Source organism: Homo sapiens, chromosome 7 (assembly GCF_000001405.40).
Source record: "Homo sapiens chromosome 7, GRCh38.p14 Primary Assembly".
Lineage (NCBI taxonomy): Eukaryota > Metazoa > Chordata > Mammalia > Primates > Hominidae > Homo > Homo sapiens.
In genome coordinates, this window is record NC_000007.14 from 23,002,021 (window position 1) to 23,018,962 (window position 16,942).

The 16,942-nt window shown below is 39.1% G+C and overlaps 1 protein-coding gene across 5 annotated transcripts in view, besides 4 other annotated features; it reads right to left on the reverse strand.

Moving 5' to 3' along the window:
* The window catches only part of HYCC1 (hyccin PI4KA lipid kinase complex subunit 1), a 118,288-nt gene extending 106,178 nt beyond the window's left edge, over nucleotides 1-12,110 (reverse strand). For 4 of the 5 annotated variants that reach the window (XM_011515590.3, NM_032581.4, NM_001363467.2 and 1 more), the window contains exon 1: nucleotides 11,905-12,110. The gene's annotated coding sequence lies outside the window, so the exon portion shown is untranslated. Of the gene's footprint in view, nucleotides 1-10,968; nucleotides 11,047-11,904 lie in introns of those variants that run through there. The other variant, XM_011515589.3, reaches the window with a different exon arrangement.
* Nucleotides 10,812-11,493: an enhancer, noted in NCBI's record as "H3K27ac hESC enhancer chr7:23052451-23053132 (GRCh37/hg19 assembly coordinates)". NCBI's record gives its function as "activates a minimal SCP1, AML or CMV promoter by ChIP-STARR-seq in primed H9 embryonic stem cells {active_cell/tissue: H9 hESC(primed)}" and the evidence as "EXISTENCE:reporter gene assay evidence [ECO:0000049][PMID:30033119]".
* Nucleotides 11,451-11,720: a silencer, noted in NCBI's record as "silent region_18005". NCBI's record gives its function as "represses an Ori minimal core promoter by ATAC-STARR-seq in GM12878 lymphoblastoid cells {active_cell/tissue: GM12878}" and the evidence as "EXISTENCE:reporter gene assay evidence [ECO:0000049][PMID:35858748]".
* Nucleotides 11,911-12,100: an enhancer, noted in NCBI's record as "active region_25714". NCBI's record gives its function as "activates an Ori minimal core promoter by ATAC-STARR-seq in GM12878 lymphoblastoid cells {active_cell/tissue: GM12878}" and the evidence as "EXISTENCE:reporter gene assay evidence [ECO:0000049][PMID:35858748]".
* Nucleotides 12,261-12,440: an enhancer, noted in NCBI's record as "active region_25715". NCBI's record gives its function as "activates an Ori minimal core promoter by ATAC-STARR-seq in GM12878 lymphoblastoid cells {active_cell/tissue: GM12878}" and the evidence as "EXISTENCE:reporter gene assay evidence [ECO:0000049][PMID:35858748]".

Here is a 16,942-nt window from a genome sequence, read left to right on the forward strand (position 1 = left end):
GTTTGAAATTTTCTCTTCACAAAGCATCTCAAAGCACTATAAAAATTGACTGAACACAGCACTACTTGATATACAACTCAATTAAAATTGTCAAGAAGAAATAATGGTAAAAATTGTATATATATATATATATATATATATATATATATATATATACATATAGTTTGCGGCTACAGCATGTAATGAAAAATGCTGAAAAACCACTGTGGCAACTCAGTATGACTAGTTGATGATCAAAGGGTACAGCAACTACCACAGCAATGGGCATGTAAAAGATATACTGTTTTGCCCCTGTTGACTATAACACAAGTAAAATAATGTGACTAAGATTATACACAAGCAATTAGCTCAAATCAACATCATATTAAAAAGTATTTTATTTAGTCTTCCCCTTCCATTTTCTACCATGAAGAAGCAACCAGGGAGAGGCTCTTGAACACCTAGGAACACAAATACCCTGTAAACACTTTCTCCTTGCCAAACTAAACAAATTCAATTAAATTAAGGAATTAGCCAGTTGCTTGCCATTGGCTGTATTGGGAAAGGTGAAGGAGGAGGCAAATAGTTATTACTTTCTTCATTAAGCTATCCAAATTTTTCTCTTCCATGTTTTACCTAGGGGAAGTATATAAATTTTTGAGGCTTTGACATTAGCCTTGGCAAACTATTTCTTGGGAACAGGCAAATTAAGGGTATTTGAGATTTTGCTACATCCAAGTATAAAAGCCACCTATATTTGTTTGCTAGGGCTGCCGTAACAAAGTACCACAGACTGGGTGGCTTAAACAACAGAAATTTATTTTCTCACAGTTCTCTAGGCTAGGAGTCTAAGATCAAGATTCAGGAGGGTTGGTTCCTTTTTAGAGCTCTGAGAGAATAGTTTCAGGTCACTCCCTATGGCTTATAGATGGCGGTCTTCTCCCTATGTCTTCACATTGTCCTCCTTCTATACAGCCTATCCAAATTTCCTGTTCTTACAAGGACACCAATCATACTGAATTAGGACCCATCCTAATTACCTCATTTTAACTTAACTGCCTCTCTAAAGACCCTATTTCCAAATGATGCTACATTCTGAGGTACTGGGGGTTAGGCCTTCAACTTATGAATTTTGGATGGGACACAATGCAGCCCATAATACCACTAAAGCTGCAGTAAGCTAGGGTTCAGCAACCAGCCTGGCTCTTTTTTTTTCTTATATTAAGGTGGTTAAATATCATCCATTTATTCATAAACTATTAAATGCCAACTATGTCCTAGATACTAGATTTACAAAAATGAATACGACATAGCTGACTTAGGGGATTCACAGTCTATTAGGAGAGACAAATAAACCTAAAACAGCAGAAATGAGTGTGCCTTAAGTCCTTTTAAAACAAATCAAGGTAAATCAGAATATAAACAATAAAATAAAATAAATAAATGCTATGAGAAAAAATGAGGAGGAATGTAAAAGAAAGCCCAATGTAAACATTATCTTTCAATCATTTTGCTATCAATAACCCCTCTTTCCTCTCTCCCAAACATAACAGCATATGGAAATATGGTTTCCAAAGCACAGCTCTACTTTGATTCCTTAAAGTTCTTTGCATTCTAAGTGCTTTCCTTTTTACAATGTTGGGGACAAAGAAAGACAGAAATGTTAAGAGAATCAAATTCCAACTAAGTTGGGAGTTAATGTCTTAGAGGGAGTCGCTGCCCTTTAATATGTTGGAATGAGACTTTCAGCCTTTAATGAGGTCTGCCAATAGAGGCTCAGATGTTCAACAGAAAATAGTAGGGCAAAGAGGGAAGTGCAATGAGAAAATGTAAGTAAACACAGTTAATGGTGGTAATGTGTGCTAATAGGGCCATAATAATAAAAACAACAGATCTTGACTGTACAAAATTCTATTTGATTCTCCCCAATCAGAAACTATGTGGATATTATGAATATAGTTGTTTTTCTTGGTTTAAAAACATTATAGTAACCAAAGCAGAAATAAATAGTTCAGTATGACCATGCTGATTCATATTAACTGGGCTAAGAGTCAATTTGTTTTAGCAGAGGCTGAAATATAAAATTATTTTTAAGATAAAGTTTTCAATAATACTGTCTTATACTAGTATAGCAGAATGTAACCTAGACGTTGTTTTGTAGCTGAATGTGAGGCTAAAATTAGCAGAGCAAAAATTTCTATCTTGGTTCCTCCCAAAGTAATTGAAAGTCCTATAAGATTGTTTAATCCCTAAAGTATTTTAAGCATTTCTTTTTCAATTACACATTGTTTTTGAAGAAAGGGTTTATTATAGAAAAACCAAACATCTGCTTAGACCCTTTCACCAATAACTAATTCCTGATTGATGAAACCTAAATTCAGTAAATCACACTGTATTACAATAAATTCTTTGGAGCTCTATAATCTGGTGACATGGAGAGCATCTGCTTTAATTACCATCTTGTGACTAGCTCAATATGATTTCCATGAAGAGGCTGGCCTTTCTGAGGTGCAACCTAAAATTGTATGACATATTTGATGTTCTCATAGTGAAAACAAAAAGTTTTAGTCTTATTTTTCTTTACATGCTTTTTCTTGGCCTGTCCTTCCTTTCCTCTCAACCCATCATTATCATGGGTAAAAAAAAAATCTCATCTCCAAATAACAGCAATTGTTAAAAATTAGATATTATAAGTATAGTAGGGAAGCTTACTAGAAGGATTCCCTTTATAAAAACATTTTAAATAAAAATATAGTCAACACAAATTACAGCAAGCATAATTAGGATTTCTCTTCTACTGCTTTTTTTGTTTCGTTTTGTTTTTGAGAGGGAGTCTCACTGTGTCGCTCAGGCTGGAGTGCAATGGTGCAATCTTGGCTCACTGCAACCAGTGCCTCCCGGGTTCAAGCGATTCTCCTGCCTCAGCCTCCTGAGTAGCTGGGACTACAAGCACGTGCCACCATGCCCGGCTAATTTTTTGTATTTTTAGTAGAGACAGGGTTTCACCGTGTTAGTCAGGATGGTCTCGATCTCCTGACCTCGCGATCCGCCCGCCTTGGCCTCCCAAAGTGCTGGGATTAAAGGTGAAAGCCACGGCGCCCGGCCTCTTCTACTACTTTCTACAAGCAGAGGAATCCCACCTATATTCCTCTTATAAGCCCCCAGTGTTTTAATATAGCTCAATAAATAAAGGAAGCAACATGGCATAATGAAAAGAATGCTGACTCTGGAGTCCAAAAAACCCGGGCCAATTTTCAACAAGTTACTTAAACTTTCTAAGTCCCAGTTTCCTCAACTGTGAATGATAGATAATAACATCTGTCTTTTAGGGATGTTTTAAGGATTAAAAATAATGCAAATAAAGCACTGGCAAACAAAAGGTACTCAATGAATGATACCTCTAAGTATCACTAACAAAATATTAATCATTTGGACAATTGAGAATGTATTTTATGATCTTATAGTTCTGAAAAGAGGGGGCACAGGAGTAAGGCTTCATCAGATTCTAATGCCCTAGTTACTCCATCCTTATTTACTCTTCACTGATTAACTTTCTGATTTAGTAGCTTAATCTACTACCAGCACTTCCAGCTGCTCACCATCAATTTATTCCTTAACCCCTTTTACAGTATAAATTTGGGTCTCATCATCTACTCTCCATGACCTTATAAATGACAACTCTATCAGCTCTTTCTCTATGGTGGTTGTTCTTCTGTAACCTGAAGCAAGAGTCTTCCTTTCTGAAACTCTACTTCTTGACCTCACTGACTTGAATATTCTGGTTCTACCACCCATGTAACCATTCTTCCAATTTTCTATATTTCTCCAACAATCTATTTGATTTACACATTTTTATCTTCCCTTCTTCCCCCATCCATTTCTATAATATTTTCACCTTCCTCTCCATTTCCCTATCAGGACTCACTTGAAGTTTCATGATTTTCCAAAACAGTCTCTCCCTTTTCTTAACTACTAATGTGTACACTGCTGCGGGGGCTATTTGTCACCTTGTCCACTACTGTGACATATACTGATTAACAAATCAGCAGGAACCTTGAAATTTAGAACAAAAGAGCATGCATGTGTCTGGCAGGTTTAAGAGGGTCAGATTGTCCCCATAGGAAGGGAATGGGGAGTGCAGTCTGGGTGTGCTGATTATAACCAAAACCCTAACTGAATTAATTAAATGTTAATTTATATTTAAAGGGAGGGAACAGAAGAGTTCAAAAAGATAAATATAGAGTTTATGACTGCTTTCCCAATTTAAGCACTTTTTTTTTTCTTTGAGATGGAGTCTCGCTCTGTGGCCCAGGCTGGAGTGCAGTGGCACAATCTTGGCTCACTGCAAGCTCTGCCTCCCAGGTTCATGCCATTCTCCCGCCTCAGCCTCCCAAGTAGCTGCGACTACAGGCGCCTGCCACCACACCTGGCTAATTATTTTGTATTTTTAGTAGAGATGGGGTTTCACCATGTTAGCCAGGATGGTCTCGATCTCTTGACCTCGTGATCCACCCACCTCGGCCTCCCAAAGTGCTGGGATTACAGGCATGAGCCACCGCACCCGGCCAATTTAAGCACTTTTAAGGCTTACATTATTCTCTTAAATTTCCAAGCCTATACATCACTCAACATAATAGTAAATATAAATATTCCAGTAGCTAAAACCTAATCTTCATGGTACAGTTTAATAACTCATATATTATGTTTTCATTAAGTCAAGTACAAATGACTGAATTCTATGTATTTATATGAGAAAGCAACTAATGTTTGTCAACTATGAAAAGACTCTTTGTTCAAGAAAACGCACACCAAACATATATCACTTAACATTACTACTAAAAAGCTACCCTGATGCAAGGCTCACAACAAAAATAATTCAAACTAAAATGGAAAAGTACTGTGTTTCCAAAACTCTTTGATCTCTTGTATGTGGTACACTTAACATAACATTCTTACAAGGTACAAACAAGATTCAGGAATGCAAATTGATCTTGAACACTCAACGAATTAAAATGTAAATTATATTAAGTGCATTATATGAACAACAATTTTAAGTTCCCCCACCCTATCCCACCTCACTCCAAGATCACAGTATTTATTAAAATAGCAAAAGATGACACATCAACACAGAACAGAACAGTGATAATATAACAGGGTTACCAAAAATTAAAACTAAGTGTGCAAAGAGGAAAAATACTTAATAAGATGCTCAAATAAAATGATTAAATTTACTTCTCAGTAATATGGGGTGAAGAAAGAGTCCTAATTAAGAAAAACATTACGGTACTGATTAGAAAACATGGGCTATTACATCAGATAGAAATTGAGTTTAAACTTTGTGTACTTTATTGATGGTGGACGACTGTCTTAACCTCTGAGTCTCAGTTTATCTGTAGAATAGAAATAATAATCTTCACCTCACAAAGTTATATAGGGACTAAATGAAATTAATTATGCAAAATACTTAGTACACAAGCACATATTAAGATCTTTATAATTGTATTCAGTCCAAAAAGACCTAGACATTTTTAGAGCCAATCTATTTCAAATCTTCCAAGGAAGAGATTAATTGCCAGAGCACATGCAAAAATGGAAACATGGAAAGCTTCTCTCTCAGTCTCTCTTTTTACAAAGCTGGCATATTCAGAAATCAAAACCTTAAAAAGGTAATACAAAAGGAATACTAAAGATCAATCTCATATAGCAAATCAAATATAGCACTATTTTAAAGAGATATGCTATTATCAAGTTGCCTTTATCCCTAAAACAGCAACTGTTTGATGAAAGCTACTTGGAAATCTAACACAATTCATCAACCAATAGGTAAAAGAAGGAAAACCATATGATCATCTCAAGGTACATTAAGAGGGCATGTGATCAAACTGAATATCTATCTTGGTTCCCCCTGAAAAGGCATAGAAGACTATTTCCTTAACATACCATAAATAAAAATTTTGAACACACAACTGTGAAACCCTAAAGGCATTTCCATTTAAATGAGAAATAAGCCAAGGATCCTCACTGTTCACTGCTATAACTTAATATTATTCTAGAAGTTCTGATCAATGTCCTAAGAAAAAGAAATAAGGATTAAGTGTTAGCAAGAAGACAAAATCATTCACGCGCTTTACACATGCTATAATTTAGTTACTACAAAACACAATAAAAACTATCAGAATTAAGAGTTTCATAAAATGACCAGTTAGAAAACAGTATACGAGAATTAGCCATCTTTCTATGTTCCATCAGGTACACTTAATCCTCTTTATAAAATAATTTTAAGAGTTCCATTCCCAATAGAATCAATAAGTTTTAAAATATCAAATATACCACTTGAAAAATGGGCAGAACCCACATGAAGAAAACTACAAACTATAAAATACATGAAGAAAACTCAAAACTACATCTTTGAGTCATAAAAGATGACTTCAATAAATGATAACATTGTATTAATAGAGATAGTACAACTTTCTCTAGAAAATTAACTCAGATATTCCAGTGAGGTTCTTTTAGGATCCTAACTGCCTTTAATGTAACATGAATAAAGAAATACATGAGAAATACTGAAAATGTTTTGACAAAGACAATAATAAGTATTCACAAAACCATTTAGTGAAATACATTAAAAACTCACAATAATTAAGACAGTTTGGAATTACTAGAGCAAAAAGAAATAGCCCAATTAAACTAAATAGAAAAACCTAGAAAAAGTCATATATCCATATCTATAGACAGACAGAGTATACACACATGATTTGGTATTTAAAACCTCTGAAGACGATAACTGTTCAATAAACAGCATTAAAATAACTGAACCATCACTCTACATTAAAATACACTGCAAATAGACTAAAGATGTAAATTTTTTTAAAAACTGTGAAATTAATATAAGGAAACAGAGGTGAATAGTCACATAATTTGGAAATGCAAGCCCTTTCTAAGTAGTGAGGTATCATAAAAGAAAAATTTGATAGGTTTAAACACATTAAAATGTTAGCAATCTGTTTAAAAAGAAAATTCACATCAAAAACAAAATTAAGATAAAAATGACAAACTAGGGAAATTATTTGCAATGTAATTTGACAAAAGCCTAATAGTTTGTATACATAAAGAGCTCTCGTAACTTAGTTTTTAAAAATCTCCAGTATTATAATAGACAAAGGACACTAATAGATATTTCATAAAGGAAATAAGTATCTCTGGGTGGAGACATTATAAGTGTTATTTACCATTTATGCTTTCCTGAATTTTTCAAATTTCCTACAATGATTATTATATTAGTAATTAAGAAACTATAGAATGTTTACAATAAGGCTGTGACAATAATAATAACCAATATCATGCTAACATTGATATTTCCACTCTTTTAGGCTGCACCAAAATTAGGGATGCCTTCCTCTCTAGAAAAGAATCATACTTTAATTCTTTATCACAATGAAAGAAATTTTCAGAACTCTAGAAGACAATCAGACAAAACTTTTCACTTCCTCTCTATTTATGACCAAGTTACAATGCCAAATAATATTTGGATAAGCTATTCTGTTTTCAGCCCCCTATGAAAGCCAAGAGTCAAGGCTGAGGAACAAGCCCTGGACTTCAGAACCAGCAGGACTCAGATTTTTCCTATATCCAAATCCTGAGCCAGAAATTTTAAAAAGAAAAAAAAAGGTGGTGAGGTGAGGATAGGTATTACTTTTCTCAAGATAGAAAATGTGAGCCTTTGAGAACTTCTAGTCACAACTCTTCTCTGTCTCATTTAGGAGACAGAGGAATGATTTTATCCTCCAGTGTATTTAAAAGGCATATATCCAAAGGGCAAGCAAACAAGATTTCTTCTGAGCAAAGATACTTTAAATAGGAGATTTTCAAGTGTTAAATGTTCTTTTTCCTTAGTGCAGATATGCAGCCTAACTCTGAGAAGGGCAAAAAGACTCTGGCAGGACTTGGCTCTCAACAATAAGCAATAGTCAAACTGCTAATTCCATCTGCTCCCCTCCAAAAAATGACAAAGCATTACATGATGATGCCAGGGATCTCAGGCTCCATTTAAGGAATTGTTCTGAGGGGTATCCATTTTCACAATATTAAGATGCTCTCTAATTTTTTAAAGTACTTCAGAAGTACTTCAGGGAACCAATTTGGATACTATATGCCAACTTTGATGATGATAACAAAGAAATATACTGTCTTTAACATTATATTCTTAGAGATGTTGCTTCCAGGAATGTCTTCCTTTCTTACTAGCCAAAGCTCTGAATTCCATTCACTTCTATCTCCTCAGGGTCTTAGTTCCAATAATTATCTCATTTCCTGAATTGCTTAAGAATCTCTTCCTACTTGTCTCTACTCACTCTTTCCTTATGCATGTAAACAAACAAACATAACATTCCCTCAAACAATATCACTCTGCAATGGTTTTCAACCATGGCTGCACACTGGAATTACTTAAGAAACTATAAAAAAGTATCAATGCAAGTAATCAATAATGACACAAAGTAGACAGTGGTTTCCTGGGGATAAGAGGAAAAGATTATAAAGGCACACAGGAAACTTTTGGAGGTGAATATTATTTTGATTATGGTGATGGTTTTGCAGGTATAAACATATGTCAAATATCAAATTGTACACTTTAAATATATGTAGTATACTATATGTCAATTACACTTCAATAGAAAAGCTGTTGAAATAAATATTGATATCTGGGTTCAACACCCCCCCACACCAAATTGGTATAGGGATTCCCTCTGGAAAACAAAATTCTTTAAAGTTCCTGAGATTATTGTAAATTATTATTACATTATTGTAAATGCACAGCCAAGATTGAGAACCACTACTCAATGAAAGCTATAGCTATCATTTTCTCCCTTCTTTATTTCAGTTCTCTTGAAAAGTCTCACTTAAGCATGTCTACTTTATCACACCCATTCTTTCTCAATCTTCTGAAGCCTGGTTTCTGAACCACCACTCAGTTAAAACTGTTCTTGTTAAAGTTACCTATGGACTCCTGACAAATTCAGTGGTCACTGGGGCCCTCTCCTAACTTGACACCTCCTTACAGCATTCAAAATTGTTAACCTGTTCCTCCTCCACTGGAAAATCTCCCCGCCCTTGGCATCTTTCCTGATGGTCCTCCTACCTTGCTAGCTACTATTCCTCTAACTTTCAGACAATTCTTCTTCCTACTTCTGCTATTTATGAGAGTCTGTTCTCTGGCTGCCACTTTCACCAGGCTAAAGGCTTTCCCTGAGTCATTTCATCACAACTAAATCAATATAGCTTCAATTCAACCCCCAATCATCTCTCTAATCCTGATTTTCACATCCACAGATACAAACATCTATCTATATCTTCGCCTGAAGTTCCACTGCTTCCTCAAATTCAAAATAGCCAAAACAGAATTTATCATCTTCCTTCCATTTTTGTGTTCCTCATTTCCATCAACAGAACCCCAAGTCAAACCTTCACAGTCCTGAGTCCTCCTTTCTTCTCATAGGTGATTAGGACTTGTTAGTTTTTCCCTCACTCTGCCACAGTAAAGGTCTAAAATACAAATCCAATAAATGGCTTCTCATCTATCACGTTCAATCCAATCCCTTTAGCTAAGGATACCATTCCCTGATCTGGCCCTCTACCACCCTCACTATCTTCATCTGGCACCATTTCCTACTAACCCCTGCATTCAAGCCATATCAATGTCAATGTTATTGACTTTGTCAACTGCCAATGTCAATTGACACTGACTCGTCATTGTCAATGACTTATCTAAATTGCCACAGTTTCTCAGGCCTCCTTGCCTTCTCAATTACTATATCCTCCTCTTGGGAAGTTACTTACCTCCTGCACTTGGCAAAATCATATCATCCTTCACAACTTGGCTGTGTGCTCCCAACTCCACCTACACTCAAGGCAAGTTAACTATCTCCTACTCTAAACTCTCCTACTACACTAGGCATATCTCTATTCCCACTGACTACATAGTATTATAATTGTTAATTTACTGTAATGTTACTAACATCTTGTATGTTAGATAGTAAATTCCTTGAAGACAAGAGCTATGACATTCATTTCTGTATCCCTAGTACCTACTCAGCCTGGAAGAGTGAAAAAATAAATTTATGTTTGATATAATTTCAATCATTTATAAAATATAAACGATACCCCAAAATAGGTCTTGAATACTAAGATTTCTTAAAATTTCTTAAGATCCATTATAAAATAAATATTAGGCAACAGGATGCTGAATAAAACAGTACATATATTTAAACTCACCGTCAAAGACACCAGTCTAAAAAATACAACCCAGAGCAAATTTCATAAAACAGAAATACAACAATGAAAGGAAGCAGAGCAAGGATAAACGCTGACCCAGCTAATGCCTTATCGGGTGTCTGTATCCAGGTACTGCTAATGCCGATGACTAAGAAGGTTTCTAATCCTTCTAATCCCTCATGGTAATTTCAATAAATCGAATAAGGATAAACGAGCCAAATCCAGAATTTGTTTCCTAAATATGTGATGCTTTTCCCCCTTGCCACTTGGTTTGATTGAACTGATTATTTGAATAGCTGACTTTGAAGCCACTATTGGCCAAGCAGATCTTAAATGTTTTTCCTTCCTTGTCTTTGCCTGCACTTCAAAAATATGGTGGTTTAGACTACTATTCATCCTGTAAACCTTAAAATGTATTCACCTAAAGAAAAAAAAATACTTGGAAATGTCGGGGGAGGTGGGGTGCCTGTGGATGTTAGCAGTAGAATGTTTTCATGGAAAACAAGCCTCCCAGTCTTTCTGACTTTATGGCAATAAGATTTGAAAGCTGAAAACCTCAAACTGTAAAGTGTTACATGAACCAAAGAGGTGGCCCACCTGCTCCAAAAACTACTGTGTGATCCAAGGATAAATAATTTGCAAAAGGTCAGCTTGGCCCTACTGCCTGTAGGGCAGTCTCTGAGATAAGAAGTAGCTGCCGGTGGAACAAATTCCCCCTACCTGAAGAGCGCCGCGGCTGCCAGGCTTGTGATAGTGTATTTCTCAGAGAGCAGATTCTGTGCAGTACTAAACCACTTAGGCAAAATTAAAATCTTTCAGGAATGTCTAAACTCACAAAGCACACATGTGCAAGCTGACGGGCAGACAGCAAATTTCGGGGAAGCGTACAAACTTGGGGGTGTTTTAATGCAACCATTTTCAGCCAAACCCCCGAGGATTCCCGAGTATGTTAAAATGAGCCTCAGGAGAGGAATAACTCATAGAAAGAAGGGGCAAGGGCTCAAGAAGAGATCTTCAGCGAAATAACCAAGGAAGGAAGCGTGGCTGCTGTCTGAACCTCTCCGCCCTGCAGGGGACCAAAGACCGACTCGGGCCAACGCTGCTCTCCAGGGGGCGAGGGCGGGGGGTCGACAGTGACCATTGTGGCCACCAGACCGGACGGACAGTGGCGGCCTCGCCGAAGTAGAGGGCGCGAGTGGGAGAGGAGGCAGAGGCCAGAGCATCCGCCGCGGCAGGGAGGGGACGGGGGGCTCCCGCCCCAGGCCCACCCGGCAGAGGGGCGGCCGGTGGGGCCGAGGCGGCGGCACCCGGGTCACAGCAGGAGGCTGGACTGCTCCTCGCCGGGAAGGAAAGACCCGAGTCGCGCGCACAAAGCTGCCGCCCTCCAGGCAGCGGGCAGGCTGCGCCCAACTTCGGGGCGAGCAGCGCCGGCCGCAGCCCACCCGCCCGCCAGCCGCCCCCAGCGCCCCGCGCCGCCTCGCACCCACCCATGGCGCCTCGCGCGGGAGCCGTTACCCCCAGTGGAGCCGCGGCCCCAGGGACAAAGTCCCGGTCCTGTCCTCGCCGCCGCCTCGCCCCGGCTCCTCCCTGACAAAAAAAAGTTATCCGTTGCCGGACGCCCTGGGGGCCCGGCGTGGGTCTCTCGGCTGGACTCACCAGGGCGGCTGCCGGAGCTCCACCTGCAGGACCTCGACTCGTGAGGCTCTCAGCGACAGCGACGGAGGCTGCTCTGCTTCCTCCCGAGTAGCAGCACCACCTGCTCCCCTTCTTCCTAGCAGAACGGGTCCCGGTGAGCCATCTTCCCCCTCCTCTCACTGACTGACAACCCAGCCGGGAGAGCCACCACTGCCGCCAGCCTCTCTGACAGGCACGACCAGGGACCCGTCCTCAAGCAGCCAACCACCACCGCCCCACGCCAGTTCAGCCTATCGCCGTCCTCCGGGGCGGGATCAGAACAACTTCTCCACCAATGAGAATCTTCTTCTGCTGGGCCTGGGGCGGAGCCATGAGGCGCCTTGAGTGGGCGTGGTCTGAGCAATGGGCGTGATCCGGGCGTCCGAGGGAAGTTGATTGACTGTAAGGTTTGCGGTGGCCGCTAGGCGATGACAATCAGCGAAGGTCTCTTAGATTCTGAGCCGTTAGGGCTTATGGCCTTCTCAGAAAAAAATAAACCTTACCGGATGATGTGAAGGGTATCAATTTGTTTCTCTTTTGTGAGAAAAGAGAAACAAATTGATAATTTACTAGTCAGTAGGATTTACTTCCCTGTAATTAAATTCACAAGAATTTATCAAAATCTTATCAAATCCCGGGAGGAAAAAAAAATTACGTTTTTGCAAAATGGAAATACAAACTTCCCCCTCACTACATCATTGCTTTTGGGCTTAGCCTGGAAAAAGTCAAATACGATGCCTCAGTTTTCTTTCCATGGGGGTTGTTTTTATTTTTTCCATCATTCCTCCCTACTTTTTCTCTGAACATATACTAAATGTTTTGTATAATAACTGGAACCCGAGAACACCTGAACCTGCGCCTGCAGACAGTACTGCTGTTTTTGACCTTGTAAACCTCTCCTACCACATCCTTCTCAAGACTGGTCAGGATTAATTAGAAGAAAAACTGACCTCCACCCTAGAAGACAGGAAGTTCATTCTAGCTTTACACTAGAAATGGGCAGGATTTCTCCAGAAACACTAAGTGAACTTTTCAAACATGCTGAACTCATAAATAACAAGCACATAAATAAGAAGATATATTACTTGATATCAAAAGGGTATCAAGCAAACAATTTCAGGTAATTATTAGGGCAGATTGCTAAAACAGATAGGATCCCCCTCCAAAGGGAGGATCAGATTAATGAGTAAATAATAACAAACTACAGTGATAAGGACAATAGAGATTGGTTCAATGAGCAATGGAAACAGAGGACAAGAAATGACTGTTTAGGAAAGTCAGCGAACTCCACAAGGAAGGTAATGTTTGAGTTGGATCTTAAAAGGTAAATGGGAGTTTGCCAGAGAAGAAAGTCAAAGGGTATTTCAGAAAGGGAGAACACCATGTTCAAAGGCATGGAGCTGTGAAAGGGCACAGAGCCATTGTGGAATGTTGAGAAGGTAGATGGGGTTAAATGATGAGGAACGGCCAAAAATTGGGCTGGAGCAAAAGGTTGAGGTGAGATTGTAAAAGACCTCACAAGCTACACTAAGATATTCAGACAAGCACTGTCCAGCAGAGCTTTCTGCACTGGTGAAAATGTTCTATATTTGTGTTGTCCAAAATAGTAGCCATTAGCCACATGTGGCTATCAAATACTTGAAATGTGGTGTGACTGAAGAGCTCAATGTATTTATTTATTTATTTATTTATTTTTGAGACAAGGTCTCACTCTGTCACCCAAACTGGGGTAGAGTGCTTAAGTGATCCTCCCACCTCAGCCTCCCAAAGTGCTGGGATTACAGACATGAACTACCATACACGGCTGAAACTCAATTTTTAATTTTTTTTTTTTTTGGCAGAGTCTCCCTCTGTCACCCAGGCTGGAGTACAGTGGTGGGATCTTACCTCACTGCACTTCCACTTCCCAGGTTCAAGCAATTCTCCTGCCTCAGCCTCCTGAGTAGCTGGGGTTACATGAACTCACCACCACACCCAGCTAATTTTTGTATTTTTTGTAGAGACAGGGGTTCACCATGTTGGCCAGGCTGGTCTCGAACTCCTGACCTCAGGTGCTCCACCCACCTCAGCCTCCCAAAGTGCTGGGATTACAGGTGTGAACCACCATGTCTGGCATTAATTTTTAATTTTAACTTTAACAACTCCCATATTGGATAGCTCAGGTTTAGATTTTCTTCTTAAGGCAATGAGGGACAGACAACAGCTTTTAATCATGTGGACAATGCAATCAGGTTTCTTTTAAATGGTGAGAATCCAAAGAAAAAAAAACAGGGTAGAGAGGAAATTCTTGACAGATCAGACTGACTTAATTTAGGTCCCCTTGGCCAGAGCCTGTTCAGGACAAGTGTTTACTCAAAGAAATAGGGAGAGGAAGATCCAGGCAGCATGTTATTCATCTTAGAGAACACAAGCAGTCAAAACCTGAGACGTTGAATTCTGCCGTCAAGTCCCATTGAGTAGGAGAGTGAGGGACCAAGGAAGGAAAGAAACCGAGTCAGCCAGATCATAAGATAGAGAGAAACAAGAGTGGGCAAAAGAGTGCACACCTACGCGCATGCACACACACACACACACACACACACACACCATCAGTTTTACTGGCCATTGGCCATGTGTGCCAGTAATGTGTTGACCTGATTTGAAGAGCCAAAGTTTCTGGTGGCAGGAAGCCCAGCCAAGACCAGGACAAGATTCCAGGAGAGAATCTCGAACCAAACCTGTGGAAGTCAGGATGGAAGGGACAGGTAAATATTATTGACTTCCTGTACTGTACAAGGCACGTGGCTTGTCAAGGATACAGATGAATGCTAGAAGCTTGCTTATAGTATAGTTAGCTGCATAACAAACAGATGAAAGGTTAAGCAAAGATTAAAGTAATTATTTAATGCAGCAGTGGAGAGATTACATAAGGCAGTACATAATCGATTCATTGTTCAAATGATTTTCTAGGCATTAGCCGCTGTGTTTTCAGAGGAGGATGCAAGCACTGCAGTCAAGGGCAGTCAGGGAAGGCTTCATGAAAAAGGCAAAATGGGCTGGGTCTAGAAAACTGGGGAGGAATTTGAACCAGATAAAATGGTGAGAAAGTAACTCCCAGAATGCCTGGAGAAATAACACAAGAGGGGAAGCACAAGCAATGTTCAGAGGGCATGGGAGGCAACTTGAGTCAGCCAAGCCTGGCAAGCTAGGTTGCAGATAGATAATAGAACACCTTGAAGGCAAGCTCAGTTGTTCAGATTTTCTCCTTTTGCCTTGTGGCTTCCTGTCTGCTCATTAGAATCACTTAGGATGCCTTTCAAAATTATCAGTACTCAAACCGCACCCCACAGTAAATAAATAAATAAATTGGTGTGTGAGGCTAGTCATTGGGTTTTTAAAAAAGCTTCCCAAGTGGTTCTAATATACACCCAAGGTTGACAAAAGGGAAATAATATAACATGTTACTAGTGCCAAATCAGTGCCGTGCATAGGATAGATTGAGTGGAGAGAAACTGAAGTTTGGCTATGTATATTTATATATAATTTGTTTCCTTCCTGCAAGAAGACAGGAAGCAGTTTACTGCCTGACTTCACTTCCCATTTTGCAGTGGTAAGGTAGTATAGAAGGCAATTTAAGTTGTCTTCCCTCTAAGTCAGAGTAAAACGAAAGCACAAATTTATGTTTCCAGTCTACTCTCCTTTCCATCACAATTTGTGCATATAAAAATAATTTCCAACAATAACAGTCTGCAGTTAAGTTTTACACATAGCCGTTTATATTTTAATCGCAAAGCACCAGAAAAAATGCCTAAGAGAACATTCTGTTTCAAAAGGAAAATGCTTTTAACCTACTTTATAAAAGTCAACATATTCCAGATCTTTCCTGCTCATCTTTGCTAGTCTCTGATATCCACACGCATAATTCTAAAGTAACTATTAAAATGCATTTATCTTCTTGCAAATAACTGTATAAAAGTGCCAGTTGAACATTATAAACATAAACATTTTCCCTATGACATTAAATTTCAGGAATTTTAAGAAAAATTTAGTTCAAATATCTTTCTCTTTTTTTCTTTTTCTTTTCCTTTCTTTGTTTCGTTTTGTTTTTGAGACAGAGTCTGATTCTGTCACCCAGGCTGGAGTGCAGTGGCACCATCTTAGCTCACTGCAACCTCCACCTCCTGGGTTCAAGCGATTCTCGTACCTTAGCCTCCTGACTTGCTGGGGCTACAGGTGTGTGCCACCGTGCCTGGTTAATTTTTGTATTTTTTTGGTAGAAACATGGTTTCACCATGTTGGCCAGGCTGGTCTCGAACTCTTGGCCTCAAGTGATCTGCCCACTTTGGCCTCCCACAGTGCTATGATTATAGGTATGAGCCACCATGCCCGGCCTAGTTCAAATATTATATATTTCTATTAAAGTCAATTGGACAACAACTGTTGTTAAAATGGTTAAAATAGATAACATGATTATTTTAAATTAAAAAGAATTTTGTTTAAAAAAACATGAAAAATATGTCAAAATGTTGCTTTTGTGGTATGTTAAACATTCTTTAAGAAAAAAGAAAATCAAAGAAATGAAGTCAAAACAAAAAGAGTGTGCCTGAGAGGTCATTCAAGGGCTTGCTATATCAGATTCCCTTTTTAAGGGAACTACCCCAGCCAGTGGACCCAGCTGAGGCAGCAACCTGAGCCATGATCTATACCATACAACCCCCTTCATGAACTGTATAACCCAAGGGCAGCCAACCTCAAGAGGTGACCTGACATGAACACCCACTCTCTTTCAAGAATTTGAACTGGAAATAGGAAGAGAAAATCACGTGGTGGAAGCAGAAGCTAAAAAATCAGTCAGTAGAAAGAAGCCCTGAGAAGCTATAAAAAGGGCACGTTTTCAGTAAACTGAAGCCATTAGGTAGCGTCAAGACGTATAAAGTGGATGGTGAAGTAATAGGTAACAAAGGAGTGGCAGAAGTAGAGACAATGGAATGAGTCACGGTAACAAAGATGGGGATCAATGAGGTCCTGTTGTGGAAAGGAC